A 19,774-nucleotide genomic window follows, 5' to 3' on the forward strand; every position below is an offset into this window, starting at 1 on the left:
AGGGCCACGCTGCTCTGGTCTCATGTACTTTTGTATTCTGGGAGCCTAGCACTCAGGGCTCCCTGAGTGAGTGAATGAATGAGTGAGTGAACTAGCTCCTGTGTTCTCGTCTTTTCTTCGGAGAGTGACACTTTGGACAGGTCATGTTTACTCCATCCCCTCAGCTTTTCAGTAAAACGAGCCCACCAGTGTTCATTTCCTTCATATAACTGCTGGCATCAAGCCAGCAACCTTGTGGCTCCTCAGACGCCCACCGGTGTGGCCCAGGCGGTGCTGCAGCCTCCCTCGCTCCAGCCCTCAAGGGAGGCCTCACTGACATCAGCCTCTGCATTAGTTTCTTATAAGGCTGACTTGGTCAAGTTTTACTTAAAATAACAGAAATGCACTCTTTCACATTTCTGGATCCGAGAAGTCCAAAATCAAGGTGTCACAGCAGGGCGGGTTCCTTCTCGATGCACTGAGGGAGAGCCTGTGTTATATGTAAAATATTTGTTTAGAAACAGAATGCTCGTTCCCTGGTGCTGCAAAGAAATAGCACTCAAACATAAATTTAATTCTCTCAGCAAGGCCATTTTTACTTTCTGCAGAAAGGGTGCTCATCGCAGATGGAACAATGGTGAGAGTACACTCGAACAAAGGAGGGAATCAATTTTTATTCCTTACACAGTTTGTCCCTGCTACTGTGTCTTGTCTCCATTGGCTGGAGCCAGACATGACAATCTAAACTAAAACCCGACTGGCTAACAGTTTAACAAGAAGGGAAACTTTGGAGAGGAACTTTTACTTTCTACAGCCTGTCCCAGGCCTCCTCTAGCCCCTGGTGTGCTTGGGCGTGCACCTCCATCTGCACATGTGCTCTCTCTCTCTTCTCATAAGGACAGTAGTCAGATTGGACGAAGGGCCTACCCCACTCCTGTGTCTTAACTAATTACATCTACAGCGACCCTATTTCCAAATAAGGTCACGTTCTGAGGCTCTGGAAAGGACATGAATTTGGGGGGACACTATCCAACACAGTACAGCCTTCCTGCCCCCCTGCAAAGTTTCGTCTTGCTCTCCACCCGCCCCTAACCTCTGCACCCTTTCTTTAGCTGGGGGTGGGCTTCTGGAATGCAGTCTCATTCGCCCACTAGTCTAAGTGTGGTTGGTAGGTAGAGGGTAGGGGACACGCTGTCTGTGCCACCGTTTCCCGCCAGGGACATAGACACTCTCAGGATCCCTGAACTCTGAAGTCTAAACTGTCAGTCAGCGTCCCCAGCGGAAGCTGCACTTGAGAATCACCCGGGAGCTTTTAAAACACAGTGTGCCCTAACCACACTCCCAGGAACTCTGGTGCACTTGGGCCGGGTGGGACTCTGGCATGAGTATTGTTTGAAAGTTCATCAGGTGATTCTAAGGTGCAGCCTAGGACCGGAACAACTGTGTAAGATGCTGTGAAAACAGCTCCATCTCACCTTCACCAGGAATATGAGCAGCTCACTGCCTAGTGAGGCTCGAATACCCATTAGGAAGAGCCAAGCCAGGCTTCTTAGGGTGGGTTCCCTGGCAACACTTCCCAAACTCTCCCACCAAGCTCCCAGGAGGCAGGAGGGAGCAAACACATACTCTGCAGAACCGGAAACAGATGGCAGCAAGCACCACGTGTCCTTGAAGTTTTCTGGTTTTGCTTTTAAAATTGGAATTTTTGCATCTTCTTCTACAATATCACCATCTTGTTTTACAACCTAAAAAAAGATTTCATTATGTTGACTTTTTTTCCTCCAAAAATATCTGAGTGTAGAAATGAGGCTCTGGAAAGGTATGCCATGTTTAAACTGTGGTTTTGTATGGTCCTTGACACACCATTGGGTTCCCTGGGGTTCCTGACTTTGAAAAACCCAGCCACAAAGAGTTAAAGAGGGTGGGAGCCAATCTGTTTAACCTTTGGAAGGAATCGCATCTTAGACGAAAACCTAGGCACAGAGAAGTTAAGCAGCTCATTCAAGATGACACAGTTTGTTATTAACTGAGTCGGAACTGTACCTCAGGACCCACCTTTCCCACTGCATTGATCTGGGGCAACTGCTAATTTGCTGTGTGACCTTGTCTAGTTCTCTTTACTTCTCTGTGTCAGTTTTCCTACGCATAAGATGATGATAACATCTGATCCACCCAACTTCTTCAGTAGTTGAGGAGGCTCAGGTGTGTAGAGGCATGTTGAAATTAGGGAGTGTCACATGTAAACTGTGGCATGTCATGTGTAAATTATGGAGTGTCATATGTAAATTATAAAGTGTCACATGTAAAAACAAGGCGCCGTAATTTAAGTCCAGCCTCACACTTCTAGGTGAGGCACAGTGATTGCAGCAAGAGTGACTTTTCCAGGGTCATGCGGGCGGGCCACTGAGGGAAACACAGTGTAGTGCACCCAGCCCCTCTGAGCCCGTGCAGAGGCTTAAGGGAGCTCCAGTGTTCCAGTTCCAGGGAAGGCTGAGGCTGGGAGCTCATGCCAGCACTTCTGTTTGCTCTCCATTGGTCCCAGCTTTTATCTGCCCAGTACCAGTTTGAAAACAACCTTCTTGTCCCAATCCTGAGAGTATCCTTTCGAAAGAGTAAGTCATGGAAAAATGCGTGGCAAACAACAACAATGCCAGCACCTTCTTTCTCCTTTCACAAGGCCACAGAGACCCTCCCCCACAGCCCATCTCTTCCAGAGGAAGTCTGCGGCCAGCCCTGCTCCAGACCCCTCCCTTGCCAGCCCAGGCCCGTGAGGCTCCTCAGCCCACGTCCGCCCTTTTCTGTTTACACTGGGAGATGAGCTTCTGCCGAGCTTAAGTGCAGTTCTGGCCCTTTTGTTTGTTTTTAAGTCAAGTTACAACTTTGCTCCTGGATTTATTGCAAATTCCATTTATCTTCTTCTTCCCGGGGTCTCTGCACAAAGCCTTTGTGTCTTCCTCTTCTGCTGTGGACAGATACCATGGGGCACCAGGAAAGGACGGGGAGCACACAGCCCCGGGGAGGCGCACTCTAAGGAGGGCCAAAGCCATTCTGCGGGGTGCTGGGGAGGAAGACAGGGGCTGGCAATGTAGGAGGAGGGGCTGTCGATTACCCGGGAGGACAGGCCCGGCCCTACATCGTGCCCCTTCTCACACAGGCCTCCAGAGGAAAGAAGAGCCAGGCCGAAAGGCAAAGAAATCCCAGACCTCAGGGGAAGGAATCAAGAAAAGAAGGTTCTGGTTTGAGTGGAAGGAGCCCGTGGCACTTTCTAGCCAGGGGTGGTATGAGGCCAAAGGTTCTGAGAGGCCTGAGAAAGGACACCTAGGTCTGCTGAGGGCGGTAGGCCTGAGGGTTGGGCACAGCGCGTGCCATGAGAGACCACCCCAGGTGCAGCTGGGCACCAGCACAGTCTCTCAGCTTCCCTGCCCTTCTCTTAGGCCTCCCCAACCCTCTCCAAACACCACATTTCCAGAAACTGCTGATGAAGAGCAAACAACTCCAAACTGAAGCTCACCAGGGAGAGAAAGAGAATCAAACTGAGCTGAACAAATTGCGAGTGGGGCGTCCAGCTGTGCTGTTGGCTTGTCTCTCTAAGAGGGGAAGTGCTGAGGGCCTGTCCCCCACCACCACCCCGAGTCCTTCCCTAGTGAGAGTTCCCTGGCTTGGGAGCACGCAGGAGATGCTCGGCTTCAGAGGGGCCTTGCTTGAGCGTGGTGAGGAAGTCCCGGGGCTGTGAAAGAGGAAATGCTGGACTCTCCCTGCCTAAGGGCCTGACCTAGAATGGGGCTTTAACCTCCCTGGAGGAGGAGAGCAGCTGCAGGTAGCTGGCGGCTGCAGAGTACTCCTGGGCAGGCTGTAGGGCCATGGGTCAGTAGCTGAAGGAGCCACCTTTCATGCCCTCCCCTCACCATCACAGTTCCCGGGCATGAAACTCAGGCATCAGCACCTCAGCCCAGGCCCTCAAGGAGTGGGGTTAAGTGAGCATGAACAGAGCAGGCCCCCTTTGCCTCTGGGAGCCTCCTGGCTTCCCAACAGGTGCTATCGCTGAATGAAGAGGAGGGCTGTCCACAGCAGTTTCCCCAGCCAAGGCTCTGGGCTCCAGCCCTGCTGGTCCCTCTTCCTCTGTCACCCATCAGCTCTGCAGCCGGCCCAGATACTCCCTTCTCCATGCTGTGGCCCCTCCTCCGGGGCCCCCACTTCTCAACCTCTGCACTGGTCTATCTGTCACTTACCTGCCTGGCTCCCTCAGACACCTCCAGCCATCTACCCTGAGACCTTGGCTGCTGATGTCCACTCTCTGGCCGCAGCTTCCTCCCTTCACCTGTTCCTTCTCCTGCTGTCACCCTGGCTCTTGTGCCCCCGCCTCTCCCTCTAGAAGCTTCCCTGGGCTCCCTTGCCCGCCTGATCTCAGGCATTCAGCACCCTCACTCTCAACTTTACTCAGGCCTGCCCCGAGGGCCCCTCATGGCCATCCACTGCATTCACTCCAAACCTTCGGCTGCCAGGCCCCAGAGGAGGTGCGGCTGCAGGCCCAGCACAGGCTGAGTCTGGCTCTCCCCTGAGGCCACTGTCAGTGGCCACTGTCACTCTCCTCAGATGCCCCAGATCCCCACCTCTACCTTCTACCTGCAGAATCTCTCAGCACGCCCCTTACTGAGCAGGTCCAGGCCTTCCCACAGGGCCCCTGGAGTCTCCTCTCACCCCCCTCAGAGCTCACTCACTCACACCACCACCCTTCCTTCCCTCGAGAGCAGAGGATGTCCCCACCTCCTTTGCAAAACTAACTTCCATACCTGGGTGCAAATGCAACAGCTCCTGTGTCTTCCACACCAAGTGGCCGCCGTCCTCAGCCTGGACCGGAAGCTGTGTGGCAGCAGGATCTCCAGTGCTTCCAGTGCACAGCCACAAGCATGGCGTCCTCTTCCTTGTCCTAAAAGGGCTTCCCTTAGATGGCTTTCTCTCAGCACACCATCTCTGCTCTTGTCCCCCGTATCACACACTTCTCACTGGGTCCTTTCACCTTCCTCTTCTCCAGCCCTGGCCATCGGCTGCTACTGAAGGCCATTCTCAGTGGCCCAGGAGCCAACCCCCTAGCTGCCTCCTCAGAGTTTCTGGGCTTCCCACCCACCCTTTGCCTCCCCTCCATGGGTTCTCCTGGTGACTTCCTGCCAGGCTTCCATTTTCTCTCCATCCCCGTGCTTTTTACCTGCTCCTCTGCTGGCCGGGCCTCCTCTCCCAGCACATCGCTTCTGTCTCTCTCCTCCGCGTCCACATCTTCAGCCAGTGCTTCCATGAGCCCCCGATTTCCAGCTCCCCAGATCCCCACATTTCTACCGGCCTACTCTGCTGGCCGTCTCTGCTTAGACACCCTGCAGAACTTCTCACGAAATTGAACTGATCTTCTCCTCCCCAAACCTCTCCTTGAGGCTGTTTGTCTCTTTCTGTATTTCTACCCTCCCCACTGCCCAGGCTCAAAACCCAGCATTCTCTTCATCTCTTTCTTCTCTGTCTCCCTGCATGTCTGGTCAGCCTCCGGATGCCTGAAGGAGCTTCTGCTCTATTTTTCAGATCCCTCCCACTCCGGTGTTGCTATCTGAATTCAAACCCTTTCCTTCTCCTCCCTGGACCTTACCTCTCAGCCTTTGGGCCTCGCTTCCCGTGGTCTCCCTGTCCTTGGACACAGAGCCCATCAGAGTGGCCTGTCTCCCTTTCAGAAACCCATATGAGCTCCACATGCATGTGGCTCCCCTGCCAGGAACAGGCCTCCCTGTCCTCCCGTACAACCTCACTGCCGCCACTTGTCACTCAGCAGATGTTGCCTGAGTCCCTGCCATGTGATATGTACCTGTGCTCACACCATAGCCACCTGCTGCTCACTCCCAGAACTGACCCTCTGCACCTACCCAGTCTTCTGGTCCCTCTTTTTGTTCGCCTGTTTTATCTTCCAGAGACACCTCCTGTTCTTTACATCCATTTCCACCCATCAGCACCTTATTCAATCGTACTCAAGGCCTACCTCCTCCAAAGGTGAAACCAATTTCTCTCCTGCCTCATTTTCCCTTAAAATACTGTTCATTCCCTATTATAACCACATCTGAATGTATATGTGTGTGTGTGTGTGTGTGTGTGTGTGTGTGTGTGTGTGTGTCATCTCCCTAGTTGTGTAACCCTGCAGGCCATGAACAGTTATTATTCAATGTTGTTTCCTACACATCTTTAATAAAAGTTTGTTGCATTTAAATCTGATCTTATTCTCTCATTTCACAGTTGTTAGAACTGTGGCCAGAGTCAGCCCCAGGTCAGAATGCTGGTCAGCAGCAGACTCACATCCCAGCCCTACCTTCCTGATACCTGATGTGGTGCTCAGAAAAACAAGGAATCCCAGGCTGTTACCCAGTGTCTCCATGTGCCCTCCACAGATGCACTCAACTGTCCTCTCTTCTGCTCTTCCTCCTACAAACTGGGCAACTGGAATCAGAACAGAGACTTTGGATGAGCATCCAGTGTAACCCAGCCTAGTTTTTCACCACGACTTCCAGATCTACATTTAACATCCGACAGCAACTATAATTCTACTTTCTGAACCTCCAGGGAAGTTGCTTCCTTGTCCCTTTCAGCAAAGGATGTCATGGTTTTACAATGTCTCCAGTGAAAAAGTTCTTCTTCTCTACATCTTCCTCCCACTCCTACAACCCTTGATCCCCACGTGAGATCTCATTTCCTCCAGCTGGGTCTTCTGCAGAGTGATTAGAGCTTCTGCCCTCCTTGCAGCATCTCTATTGTAAAAGGATTGCTGAAGCTTATTAAGCCTTGCAGCTCCTAGGAGGAAAGGTACCATATAGAAATAAAACAAATCAACAAATTAGTGTGTTTTGTAGAAGTTGAATAGGACTCCACCTATCTGCATGAGTGTGCACACTGTGCAGTCGCACAGGCAGTCTCAAATGGGAATTTGGAAAAAGCTAAGCTTTTTCACTTGAGAAAGGTTTACATATTCTTTGCACCTGGGCACACACAGCACAGGCTGTTCTCAGGACTCCCACCAGATTAGGCCTGGGACATGACAGAGCCTGTCAGGTCCACGTTTGCTTTCCAGTCTCCTTGCTTCCAGTCTAGCTGTGGCCTGACTCCAAGTCCAGTGTAAGATTTTTTTTTTTCAGCAATAAGGAATCGGTTCATTCACCTGTACGAAAACCAGTGGGAGGATCATGCATAAGGCTCATATCCTTGCTGTGAATTTCAAAGGACTGGCTAAGTAAATAAAATTATCATGCCAACCTGAGCTGGTATAGATTGCATTGATTGCTGCTAATAGCCAAAATGGACATTTTAAAAGTGCTCTACACTGCATTCTACACAACTTGGGACAGAAAAATAGCTGTTGCTCTTAAGGAGCTGATGGTCTCCTTCAAGGGTAAGCTGGAACAGGCTGACCCAGGAAAAGGCACTCCCAGTTGAATGCTTTCACTTGCGTGGGAAGTCCAGCTGTCTCAATGGGGCCCAGGAGACAGACTGACGAGGGACGAATTCCTGTGTTTGGGACTGGGCTTGAAAAGTCTCCTGTTTGTAACACTCAACTTGTAGAAGAGCAGAAAGAATTTCCAGCTGTCGACAGGATGAGGGGAGCCCTCCTGATTCTGTCTGGGGATGTGTTTGCACTCCAGAATCTGCTATCCTTCCTCTTGCTATCCTTCCCGGCTACCACATGAAACACCTGGTCCTATGGGCCAGCTCTGGAACAAGATGACTCTTTGCCATCAAGGAATACAAGTGGCCAAAGGACAAATATTGTGTGATTCCACTTACATGAGGTACCTAGAGGAGTCAAATTCACAGAGACAGAAAGTAGAGTGGTGATTACCAGAGGTTGGGGTGGAGAGAGGGGAACGGGGAGTTAATGTTTTATGGATACAAAGTTTCTGTTTTTCAAGATGAAGAAGTTGTGGAGATAGATAATGGTGATGGCTGGACATCAGTGAGAATGTACTTAACACCCCTAAACAGTACAGTTAAAAATGGTTACAGTGATAAATTTTATGTTACGTATATTTGACCATAAAAAGGAAGGAAAAAAGGAAAGAAGGAAGGAAGGGAGGGAAGGAAGGAGGGAGAGGGGAAGGGAGGAAGGGGGAGGGAGAGAGGGAGGAAGGAAATGCAAGTGGGAACTCAGCCCTGGTCAGAGCACTGCTGGGAAAAGATAGGTGACTCTTTATCTTGCTGTAAAGAGAGGTGTGTTTGTGTGTGTGTGTCCCTGCAGGAGTGAAAATGGACCCACAAACCACATGGTTAATGAGGTGAGCATACTGGACCAAGCTATTTAACATCTGGGCCTGCCCCATGACTAATAGTCCAGGTCATTCTGCATAATGCAGACCAATATAAGATTGTTAGTGGAGGCCAGGCGTGGTGGCTCACGCCTGTAATCCCAGCACTTTGGGAGGCCAAGGTGGGCAGATCACCTGAGGTCAGGAGTTCAAGACCAGCCTGCCCAACATGGTGAAACCCTGTCTATACTAATAATACAAAACAATTAGCCAGGCATGGTGACTCACGCCTGTAATCCCAGCTACTTGGGAGGCTGAGACAGGAGAATTGCTTGAACCCAGGAGGTGGAGGTTGCAGTGAGCCAAGATCACACCATTGCACTCCAGCCTGGGCAACAATAGCAAAACTCTGTCTCAAAAAAAAAAAGATTGTTAGTGGAAGTTGTTCTTTTTTTCTTTTTTTTTTTTTGAGATGGAGTCTCACTCTGTCACCCAGGCTGGAGTGCAGTGGCACGATCTCAGCTCACTGCAAGTTCTGCCTCCCAGGTTCATGCCATTCTCCTGCCTCAGCTTCCTGAGTAGCTGGGACTACAGGAGCCCACCACCACACCCGGCTAGTTTTTTTGTATTTTTAGTAGAGATGGGGTTTCACCGTGTTAGCCAGGATGGTCTCGATCTCCTGACTTTGTGATCCACCCGCCTTGACCTCCCAAAGTGCTGGGATTACAGGCGTGAGCCACCCTGCCTGGCCAGAAGTTGTTCCTTAAATGGCTAAGAGCCTTCATAATATTCTTGGGAGGGCGAGTGGCAGCCCATTTCTCCATAACTTGCTCAGAAGCACATTTTAGTTGTTTTAAGAATGACTCGATTTTTGGAGTCAGAGAGGTTGGGGCTAGAGTTTAGGGCCTGCTGTTGTGTGGCCATTCAGAACGCCCAATTTAAATCTAAATGCGTAAAATCAAAAGAGTGGTGAATGTGAACATGCTTTTTTATAAACTGTAAAGTGCCTCACTGTGATCCTTTATTCTTTCAATTCAGCCTATGAGTGCAAGTTAGCAATAGACTTTAAAGAACTCATACTGCAGGAAAGTAAGCATAGATACTAAAATACAAAATTCAACCTCTACTGCCTATGACACGATTTTTCAGGCCTCAGAGGCAGCCTGGTAGCAACCACAGCTAAGAACAAAGGTCCTAAGAGCTGGACTTTTTGAAAAAATAGATTCTGTAGCCTTTGTAGGGAGGAGTTGGTCTGAGTTGAACCATATTGCTGAGAAGAGTCTCTCATTAAGCCTTTATCCATTATCAACACTGGGGCATAAAATCATTTATACCAAATACTTATTTTTTTAATTGAGATATAATTGACATACCATAAAATTCACCCTCTTAAAGTGTACAATTCCATGATTTTTAGTATATTCACAAAATTGTGCAATTATCACCATTATCTAGTTCCGAATATTTTCATCACCCCCAAAAGAGTCTCCATATGCATTGGCAGTCACTCCCCATTCCTCCTTCCCCTTTCCTCTGGCAACCACTATTCTACTATCCATCTCTATGGATTTGCTTATTCTGGACATTTCATATAAATGGAATTATACAATATGTGACCTTTTGTGTTTGGCTTCTTTCAGTGAGCATAGTGTTTTCAAGGTTCATCCATGTTGTAGCATGTATTGGAATGTCATTTGTTTTCATAGCTGAATAATATTCCATGGTATGGATAAACCACATTTTGTTTATCTGTTCATCAGTTGATGCACATTTGAGTTGTTTCCACTTTCTGGCTAAAATGAATAATGCTGCTATGAACATTCATATACAGTGTGTGTGGACATGGATTTTCAATACTCTTGGGTACATACCTAGGAGTAGAAATGCTAGTCATATGAGCAATTGACCTAGCTTTCTTGGAGTGCACTGGCATGATCTCAGCTCACTGCAACCTCCGCCTCCTGGGTTCAAGCGATTCTCCTGCCTCAGCCTCCCAAGTAGCTGGGACTACAGCTGCATGCCACCAGGCCCAGCTAATTTTTGTATTTTTGGTAGAGATGGGATTTCACCATGTTGGCCAAGATGGTCTCGATCTCTTGACCTTGTGATCCACCCGCCTTGGCCTCCCAAAGTGCTGGGATCATCTGTATCCTTACTGGTTTACTGATTTTTCTGACTATTTGTTTTATTAATTCTTGAGAGAGGAATGATGAAATGTATATATTCAAACTATGACTGTGGTTTTGTCTATTTCCTCTTTAACTTTTGTCAGTTTTTGATTCATATATTATGAAGTTCTGTTAGCAGGTACAGAAACATTTAGAATTGTTAAATCTTCTTAAATTTTTCTTTTTTTTTTTTGAGACGGAGTCTCGCTCTGTCGCCCAGGCTGGAGTGCAGTGGCGTGATATCTGCTCACTGCAAGCTCTGCCTCCCGGGTTCACACCATTCTCCTGCTTCAGCCTCCCGAGTAGCTGGGACTACAGGCGTCCACCACAACGCCCAGCTAATTTTTTGTATTTTTATTAGAGATGGGGTTTCACTGTGTTAGCCAGGATGGTCTCGATGTCCTGACCTCATGATCTGCCTGCCTCAGCCTCCCAAAGTGCTGGGATTACAGGCGTGAGCCACTGCACCTGGCTTAAATTTTCCTTTTTGTCACTATGAAATTGTCTCTCTTTATCTCTGGTGCTATTCCTTGTCCTAAAGTCTTCTTTTTTTATTATTAATATAGCTACTCCAGCTCTCTTGTGATAAGCATTGCACAGCATATCTTTTTTCATTCTTTTACTTTTAAACTATTTGTGTTTTTATATTTAAAATGAATTTCTTGCTTTTTAAATCCAGTCTGATAGTGCCTGACCTTTAATTGGGGTATTTGGACCATTTGCATTTAATTACAAGTACATGTAACATACATGTTTGGTTTAGGTATGTCATCTTACTATTTGTTTTCTACTCATTCCATCTGTTCTTTGTTACCTTTTGCATCTTTCCTTGCCTTCTTTTGAAGTGAGGGTTCTTTTTTGTTATTTCATTTTATCTAGACCATTGACTTTTAGCTACATGCTCTTGTCCTTTGTGCTATTGCTGCTATAAATTTTATTTCTGCATATGTTATGAACTCTACAGTACTTTATTATTTTTGCTTTAATATTTTAAAGAAATTTTTAATGAAAAATTTTAATATTTATCCTCATGTTTCCCATTTCTGGTGCTCTTCATTCTTTTGTGTAGATCCAAGTATTATTTTCCTTCTTTGTAAAAAACTTATGTTAACATTTCTTTAGGGTAGATCTGCTGATGGTGAATTGTCTAAGCTTTCATTTATCTCAAAAAGTCTTCATTATATCGCTGGATACAGAATTTGATTTGTGTATCATTCAGTATATCAAAGAAAGTATTCCATTGTCTTCTGGCTTGCATTGTTTTGATCAGAAGTCTGCAGTATTTCCTATACTCTCTATGACACTATAAAATACAGCTTTTTTCAGACTACTTTTAAGATTTTCTCTTTATTACTAATTTTAGTAATTTATTATGATGTACTTTGGTATGATGGTGTGATTTCCCTTGCTTATTTTGATTGGGGTTCATTGTGATTCCTGGATCTGTGGTATTTATAGTTTTTAACAAATTTGGAAAATTTTCAGCCTTGATTTTTGTCAAAAATTTGTTCTCCCTCTTTTTTCTTTTTCAATTATACATATGTTAGACCACTTGATATTGCTCAAGGATTGATGGGACTTTGTTCATTTCTGGGTTTTTTGTTTTGTTTTGTTTTGTTTTTGAAGTCTTCTTCCTCTTGGTGCTTCATTTTGGATAGTTCCTATTGCTGTTTTCAGTTTTACTTTTCTCCTTGTAGCATCTAGTTTGCTTTGAATTTCAGCCACTGACCTTTCATTTCAGATATTGTCTTTTCCACCACAAGAAGTGCATTCTTTCCTCATTTTATGTATGTTTTTCTTAAAATCCTGGAGTATATTTTGCCTACTTAAACAGCTGTTTTAACGTGCCTGTCTGTTCATTCTGTCTTTTCAACTCTGTCATTTTCAGGCATGTTTCTATTAATTGCCTTTTTTCCTGATATGGGTCACATTTTTCTGCTACCTGGTGAGTCTAGTAATTTTTGCTTAGATGTTGGATATTTTAAAGGTTACATTGTTGAATGTTTGTATATTTTTAAATCCTCCTTTAAGGAGTATTGAGTTTTTATCCAGCAGGCAGTTACTTATGGATAAGATTATTCCTTTAGAGGCTTGTTTTTAGCTTTGTTAGAATGAACCTAACGTTTCTTTTATTCTAGGGATAGTTCAGTCTTACTATCTGCATATGAACCTCATTGGATCTCTACTAAATGCCCCAGCTGATCAAGCTGGTTGATATTTTTACATCTCAGAATCCCATGTGAACTCTGAAATTTTCAGCTTATAGCTTCTGGTCATTCTTTGCCCAGACTTACAAAGCTTCACTCTGGGTATGAACATCTTAGTATTAAGCACTCAACAGGGCACTTGTGCAGATTTCTGGAGCTTTTTTTACATGGTCCCCTCTTTTCTAGAATTCTGCCCCACAGTTTCCAACTACAGTCTCCTTGACCTTCATTTCTGTATTTTAACTTAACAAGACTACCATACTGTGCTTGGGATATTGTTTCCCCTGCTGTAAAGTCCAGAATGTGCCTCCAATCAGAAACTGTCATGATCATTTACCACATGTATTTTCTTTATCTCATGGGTCATAGTTCTGCACTGTGTGTTGTACAATATCTGAAGCCGTCAGTACATTTATTTTGTTGTTTTCTAGTTTTGGTAGAGACAGGGTTTCACCATGTTGGCCAGGCCAACCTCTATATTTTTCATCCAGGCCTGCGGGGTCATCCTCTTTGGCTTCAAATCCCAAGGGATACAGGGGGAGGGTAAATCTGGATCCTGTTGCTTTGTCATGGCCAGAAGCAAAAATCTTAAGAACAGGTTTTGATAAAGAAATGATGAATGATAGCAGGCAGGCCCAGAAACTAGACCTGATAACCTGGCTGGGGGTTCCAAGATATAAGGAAGCAGCAGAAAAACTCTAGCATCTGCAAGCCATGCAGGAACAGGTATGGCAATGGAGACAGAGGCAAAAAATTTTGGAAATTACTACAAACAAATCTCATCTGTGTTCCCAGGTGGCTGGCTATCTTACATTTGCTCTCCAGATTCACTCGCCACCCTTTGGCCTGTCAACCTGTCTAGATTGCATCAATGGGGCACCATTGACCTCTAGTTTCTAGTTGTGCTCAGGCAAAAAGAGACACAAACAGGAAACTACAAGACAGAAAGGATGTTTATTCCCCTAGATCCTTTCCTGTCAAATCACTGTGAATTAGTTTTGCCCCTCTACCAAAAGTTGCACTGTCACCATCCTATTGGGAGGCCCTCTCCTTACAGGTACTCTCTGTGGATTCTCCTAACTATTCCTTCCTCTTGACCCTTTGGATTTAGGGAGGGTAATGCCTCTTCAATGTGATTAAGCTTAAAGTATTGCACCTTCCTTTGTTAGTTCCCCTAAATCCTGTCCATAGCTTGATAAATAATCCCTTCATTAAATTCTCCTCTTTTTCCCCACCAGAATTCTAACTGATACTACAGGGTTGTTGATGCTGCCTCTAAATGTAAACCATCTACTGCCCAGTAATTGTAAGACCATAGGCAGATCACTTTACTGACTCTAGCCTCAGTTTGCCCTTAGCCTAGCCCTGACAACTTGAGCCTAGCCCTGACTACTTGAGAAACTCAAATTCAGGAGGCTGTACCATAACAGCAGACCTGAGGAAAGAAGTGCCCCCTCCACCTTCCCTACCTTTTTTTTTCTTTTGTCCCCCATTCTTAGAATTCCTAGCTCAGCTGCTCTGCTTCACAGGCTAACCCAAGTCTTTTCCTCTAGGTCTTAGCCACAGATATAGCCTGGTCAGTGCTAAGAGAGGAGGAGGCCAGATAAAGACCACTCACGTAGAGACAACTATCATTTGGGGATCATGCTCAAGGTCAAGTTCACACAAGCAACTCAGCTTTTAACCCTAGCCAGTAGGGCTTAACACACAAGGGACTCTTTTCCCTCCTGACACATGCTCCCTGGAGAAGATTTATTTTTTTATTTTTTAACTAGAAAGACAAATCAATAGAATGAGTAAATTAAAAAGTTAAAAGGCTGGGCGTGGTGGCTCACGCCTGTAATCCCAGCACTTTGGGAGGCTGAGGTGGGTGGATCACGAGGTCCAGAGATCGAGACCATCCTCGCTAACACGGTGAAACCCCATCTCTACTAAAAATACAAAAAAATTATCCAGGCGCCTGTAGTCCCAGCTACTCAGGAGGCTGAGGCAGGAGAATGGCGTGAACCTGGGAGGTGGAGCTTGCAGTGAGTGAGATCGCACCACTGCATTCCAGCCTGGGTGACAGAGTGAGACTCCATCTCAAAAAAAAAAAGAAAAAAAAAAGTTAAAAGATAGAGATTTTAAATAAAGAAGGAAAAGTCATGAGTTTTAAAAGGTTAGTCCTAAGGTCAAGGAAGCAAGTTAGACAGAGTCATTTACTGCAGCCTCCCCCAGGCTGAAGCACATTTAGAAATGGAAACCAAAGGTATGGTGGAAGGAATCCATGAGCAGGAGGAGTCAAAGAGTTGGTGACAGTCTACTCTGAAAGACATTAGGCCACAACGAACATATAACCTCTCAGGCAAACATCCCCAGATCCCTGTCCTAAGAAAGGGAAAATGAAATGGTCTCCCACCTTTCTGTGAAAACCCATTAAACGTACTTGCCTTCCTGAGGAGGTTATTTTCTGCATAGTGCACCTTTTCTGTCTTCTCCTTAATCAAAGGGACACTTAAGTCCCCTTTTGAGGCTTCTAATGTGGCAAGCCTATTCAGTCTCCAAGGTTGATGTTTTTCCTAGACTTTCACTTGATCCTTGCCCCAAATATAATGTACCTTTCCCCTACCCATGTTGTGACTCAGTACCAAAGCCTCCAGGGCCACTACCCCGGGGTTAGCCTCTCTCTCTCTCCCTTTCCTTCCAGGAGTCTTTCCAAGATCTGAGGTAAGATTGATGCTTCTCTGGGAATCAGACCTCCTTACCCTTCCTCTTGCATAGGCTTAAACATGATATTGCATCTTTCTTTTAGAGAAAAAGTCTATATTTTCTTGTTATTTATTATCATTAAAGGCAATACAGGCTTACCCAAGAACTAGGCAGGTTATTGGACTGGATCTACCCAGGAGTCCAGAGATTCCCAAGTGAGTCAGCAGACGCCTGAGATAGTAGGGGCCTAAGAATAGCAACCTTCCCTACAGCCTCTGCGTGACCCCTTCTGACCTGTCCCCACCATGGGTAGCTGTTGTAATCTGACTCACTGTGTCCCTCCAGACAGCTCTGGTTTCTGATAAGAACCTTCCATGAAAGAAGAGCCTTGCTCACTTCTGCACTAGCTGCTCACATTATTGGTTCAAGGCTTAGAGAGTATAGTCCTTTGACCCCTAACCCTTGATCCTGGCCCCAGTGAACTATTCCTACTGGGCATAGGAAGAAATGCCTATACCTGACATTTTTTACTGAAGGGAGAGCAGAGACAATCTACCCAATGATTTGCTATTGTTAATTAATACCCCAAATCCCTAAGTAGGAGTGACTGAAAGGCTTAAGGCCCTTTAACTCTTCCTATTCTCAAGTGAATCTAAAGTTTATTTTCCCTATATCCTTTAATCATGTTTCAGGTCCTCACCTGTCTGTCCACAGCCTGAATACAATTGGTCTGGGATGGGATTTGGAAAAAGCAGACACAATGCCTTGTAGTTGATGAGTGGCAGCTCGGGAGTTTCTGTAAAGGAGAACCTATGGATGGAATATTGGCTGATACAGGAGCCAGGGGGTTTTCATCAGGCTGTTTTGTATAGTAAACACTCTATTTTTCCACTTAGATTGCATGTTTATTTACTTAGAAAGACTTTAGGGGAAGCCAATGGAGACTGGAGGGGACGGGGCAAGGCCCTCCCAAACCACTCCTTGGCAATCCCTGCCTAAGATGGCTTAACCCCTCATTGGATTCTCTCACTTCTCACTTATTTTTCCTTCCTTTATCATTCATTCAATCCTGGGAATACCACGCTTATTGTTTCATTCATCCATCCACCCACCTGTCCATGCATCCATCCATCCATTCATGATGGCAGCTCCTTCTCAATGGAAAGCAAAAGCCCCTTGCCAGAGAGAACCTCTATATTTTTCATCCAGGCCTGTGGGGTCATCCTCTTTGGCTTCAAATGCCAAGTGATGCCCAAGGGTGCTGATGGTGTCACTGCACTTCTCCACAGCCACCTTTCTTCTCTTGCCATTCTCTCCCACTCCTTTCTCCTCTACTCTTAAGTTCCTTTTTTCTCTCCTTTTCCTTTCTCCACTGTCTATGCTTTAGGCCTACCCAAGCCACTGTGGATATTTTGTAGCCATTCAAAACTAAAAAGGGCAGCTGAGCCCAATTCCAGAAGAGTTGATAGCTCCTGGCTCCTGGATCCTCCATGACTTCAGCTACCCGCTGTTTCCCTGGGGCAGAGCTAAGCTGGACTTCTCCTTACTGGCCCCCAGGGTCTGGGCTAAGGCCACATTGGGGCCCCAAGGACATCAAGTCTTCAGGCTGGAGCTTTCTCCTACGGGAGAAAAAAATAAGCTCCCAAAGCAGAAAAAGTTGTCTTTTCTCCTGTTGCTATTGGAAACATAACAACAAAGCCAAGATGTAGTGGCTTAGCAAGAATAAAACAAGCTGTCAGCAGCCAGGGCCCAGCTGATCTCCTCAGTGGTGACGTGGGTTCTGTGCACAGTGACAATGAGTGTAATTGAACCCAGAGCTTTGGGGTGCAGGAGGCAGGCCAAGCAGCCCCAACGCCACTCCCCTTTCCCATGTCACTCATGCCTCTGGTTGGGGGTGGCAGATGGGTCAGCACAGGCCCACAGAGGGTTCCTCTTCATGTCTTTACTTCTCTCCTAAAGAGGGATAAGCCTGGAACCTGGGCACCTGGAATGACTGGGCAAGCATGCCTCTAACCTGGCCTCCATTCCTGAGCTCCAGTTACCCTGTTACCATCCAGCCCCATCTGTTCTAGAGTCACTGCCTTTAGGCTGGAGGGACCTTGGCAATCGTCTGGTCCTGGCTGTCTCAGGAGCAGAATCCTCACTTGGGATTAGACCCTTCACAGACGCCAGATGCTCTAAGTACAGGGGCATCATGGAGGAGGAGCCATTCTGACTTCCAGTATACTTGATGAGGAACAACTGATTCAGTCAACCCATATCATCTTGGGTCAGGATTGGTGCTGATTCATTTTGATTCCTGCAGGCATGGTCTCTCTCCTCCTGAAGCTGAGTCTAGTGGGGAAGACAAATATGGATCAAGTAATTAAAGCGGGAGGCTGTTTACCAAAAGGGAGTTCTTAGGAGGTCACAAGTCTAGGAAGAGGGTGGTCACGGAAGGCCTTTCTGAGGTGATGGCATTTAAATTAAAGGCAAGAGTGCATTTCTGTCACTCACTTCCTCACCCCCAGAGCCTAACACAGGGCTGGCACATGGTAGATACTCAGTTGTTTCATGAATGAATGAATGAATGGGCAATGAACAAATATCTCTACATTTCCTGATAGCCCTTGGTGACTTACAGGATTTGATGCTGGGTCTATTAATGTATCCATTTACAAAAAAAAAAAAAAAAAAAACTGGATGTCACGATTCCTCCTGAGGGCTATTTGTGTTATGGACGTGCTATGTGCTGTTCATTCAATTTTAGAGGTGTTTATGCTGGGTCACAGCTGGGGAAAACGATACCCCTGAGATCCCGCAGGGAGTCTTCTAGACTCGCCCCCTCCTGACACCCTCAGACTGCACCATGGAGAACTCTGTAAATTAATTCATCAAAGTGAGGAAGGCAGGCCCCTTGACAGGTGACTGGATTCAGATCTGAAAGCGGAGACAGGTTAATACTTCCTGTGCCCAGATGTCCTAACCACAGACCCAAGCTCACGGGAGGCAAGGGGAGAATAGCACCACGGACCTACCTTCTTTTTCTCATAAGAGGGTGAAGGGTTCTTGGAAATTCCCCTAAAGCATTCAAATGAGCAAATCCAGGGCTGTTTGCTGTCAGGTTTCTGGGCAGGATTATGGGCAGACTGACCAGCTGTTCCCTCCCCCAGGACTGCCTTAATTTCCAAGCCCTACTTCTCAGTCCCAGGGAAAGTTGGCCCAGCTATAAAATGCCCTGAAACTCTCCCAGAACTCAAAACATACCCACAGTACGGTGTCACTCTTGGGGAACCTGTCCGTAATGAACAGCAACAAGCATCTTCTTTCCCTTCCCTCTCCAACACGCACCTTTCCAAGAAGAGAAATGAGAGCTAGTGACATTGAGTATAGGCAAGGCCACCACATATAGTTTCACAGGCTGTTCACTGCAAAAGGCCAACATGCATAGAAGGCAGATGGGGGCTGAAATTCAGCCTGCACTCATCCTGCCAAGCTGTGCCCTGGCATGGCTGTATCCACAAAGAGGAAGGGGTGCCTTTTCTAACTTGTACATAGGTGCCATATGGGCTAGTAGTGACCCTGGGTGGAGAGCCCAAAGAGTGACATCTGGGGAGGAAAATAAGCCAATCATTCCCTTGCTACCACCTAAACATTCTAGCCAGGTGTTCCTCAAGTGATCAGATATGCTAATAAGGCAGACTTCTTAGAAGGTAATAGAATATGATGGATAAACCAGTAGGGCCGGTAAGGCTTTGTGTTTTATTTTTCTATGTCTTGAATTCACATGACAGTGAAAATCAAACTACTGAGATGTACTAGGGAAAGATCAAATGTCTTCTTTCTGTTAAACTGCTTTTAGGGAGAGTAAAGATTTGCAGTGAGTATAACCCCTCTGGGTTGGAAACACCAGGAGTCTGGAATGTAGCCCAAACACTGGGCTCTAGCTTTGCTTACCTTGAGCCTTTTGGTCAGGAAGGGGGCCTCTGAAAGACGAGGGGAAGTCGGCATTTTCTCAAGAGAACAACCTCCCCTGTGGAGGTCCAGGCATCTCACCAGAGAACACATCTCATACTCAGGATGATTAGCTCTTGGTTTCGTCTGAATGGTGGCATAATATGGATGTGTTGCTTAGAAAAGAATCTGATTTCAGCACATGTTTGATGGGTGTAGAACCAAGGGCTGTGGTCCCCTTTGCCGATCACTTTACATTGTGGGGATATTTGGAAAAGGCAACTCATACTTAGGGGCAAGGGCAGTCACCCCCTCTCAGAAATACGTCCCCAGCATGATATCCTTTGTTATCTGCCCATATGCCCAGTCTAAAGGGGGCTATGGTTCTGGGGAAGCTAAGAGGGAAGGTGGGCAGGGAGTGAGGCCTGCCAATCACAGCTCTCCTAGCACTTCCGGGCCCTCGATATGCCAGAGCATGAAGTGGGGTCAAGGGATGGAACTGAAATGCTTCCTGAGACTCTGGGATCCCCCTAACCGC

General features: G+C 46.6%; 1 protein-coding gene and 1 long non-coding RNA gene across 5 annotated transcripts in view, besides 3 other annotated features; one reads left to right on the forward strand and one right to left on the reverse strand.

Moving 5' to 3' along the window:
- The window catches only part of RAD51B (RAD51 paralog B), an 863,318-nt gene that overhangs the window by 784,984 nt on the left and 58,560 nt on the right, over window positions 1-19,774 (forward strand). For 2 of the 4 annotated variants that reach the window (NM_001321809.2, NM_001321821.2), the window contains one exon: window positions 6,244-7,258. The exons of 1 other annotated variant lie outside the window; for it this stretch is intronic. Coding sequence is in view for 2 of the 3 variants with exons in the window: in NM_001321821.2 (NP_001308750.1) it covers window positions 6,244-6,485 (242 nt within the window). In the remaining variant the exon portion in view is untranslated. Of the gene's footprint in view, window positions 1-6,243; window positions 7,259-19,774 lie in introns of those variants that run through there. One more of the 4 variants, NM_001321815.1, reaches the window with a different exon arrangement.
- LOC107984016 (uncharacterized) lies at window positions 638-5,790 on the reverse strand. Its single transcript, XR_943973.3, has 3 exons — window positions 5,183-5,790; window positions 4,770-4,906; window positions 638-1,724 (listed from the first exon to the last, which is right to left on the reverse strand). It is a non-coding gene; the product is annotated as an uncharacterized LOC107984016 (long non-coding RNA).
- Window positions 2,273-2,919: an enhancer, noted in NCBI's record as "H3K4me1 hESC enhancer chr14:69073752-69074398 (GRCh37/hg19 assembly coordinates)". NCBI's record gives its function as "activates a minimal SCP1, AML or CMV promoter by ChIP-STARR-seq in primed H9 embryonic stem cells {active_cell/tissue: H9 hESC(primed)}" and the evidence as "EXISTENCE:reporter gene assay evidence [ECO:0000049][PMID:30033119]".
- Window positions 5,650-5,944: a silencer, noted in NCBI's record as "tiled region #11310; HepG2 Repressive DNase matched - State 12:CtcfO, and K562 Repressive non-DNase unmatched - State 13:Ctcf". NCBI's record gives its function as "represses a minimal TATA promoter and a strong SV40 promoter by Sharpr-MPRA in HepG2 and K562 cells {active_cell/tissue: HepG2 | K562}" and the evidence as "EXISTENCE:reporter gene assay evidence [ECO:0000049][PMID:27701403]".
- Window positions 14,554-14,745: a silencer, noted in NCBI's record as "fragment chr14:69086033-69086224 (GRCh37/hg19 assembly coordinates)". NCBI's record gives its function as "represses an EF-1alpha promoter that drives an FKBP-Casp9 reporter gene in an ReSE screen in K562 erythroleukemia cells {active_cell/tissue: K562}" and the evidence as "EXISTENCE:reporter gene assay evidence [ECO:0000049][PMID:32094911]".

The sequence above is a fragment of the Homo sapiens genome, chromosome 14 (genome assembly GCF_000001405.40).
Source record: "Homo sapiens chromosome 14, GRCh38.p14 Primary Assembly".
In the NCBI taxonomy this organism is placed as follows: domain Eukaryota; kingdom Metazoa; phylum Chordata; class Mammalia; order Primates; family Hominidae; genus Homo; species Homo sapiens.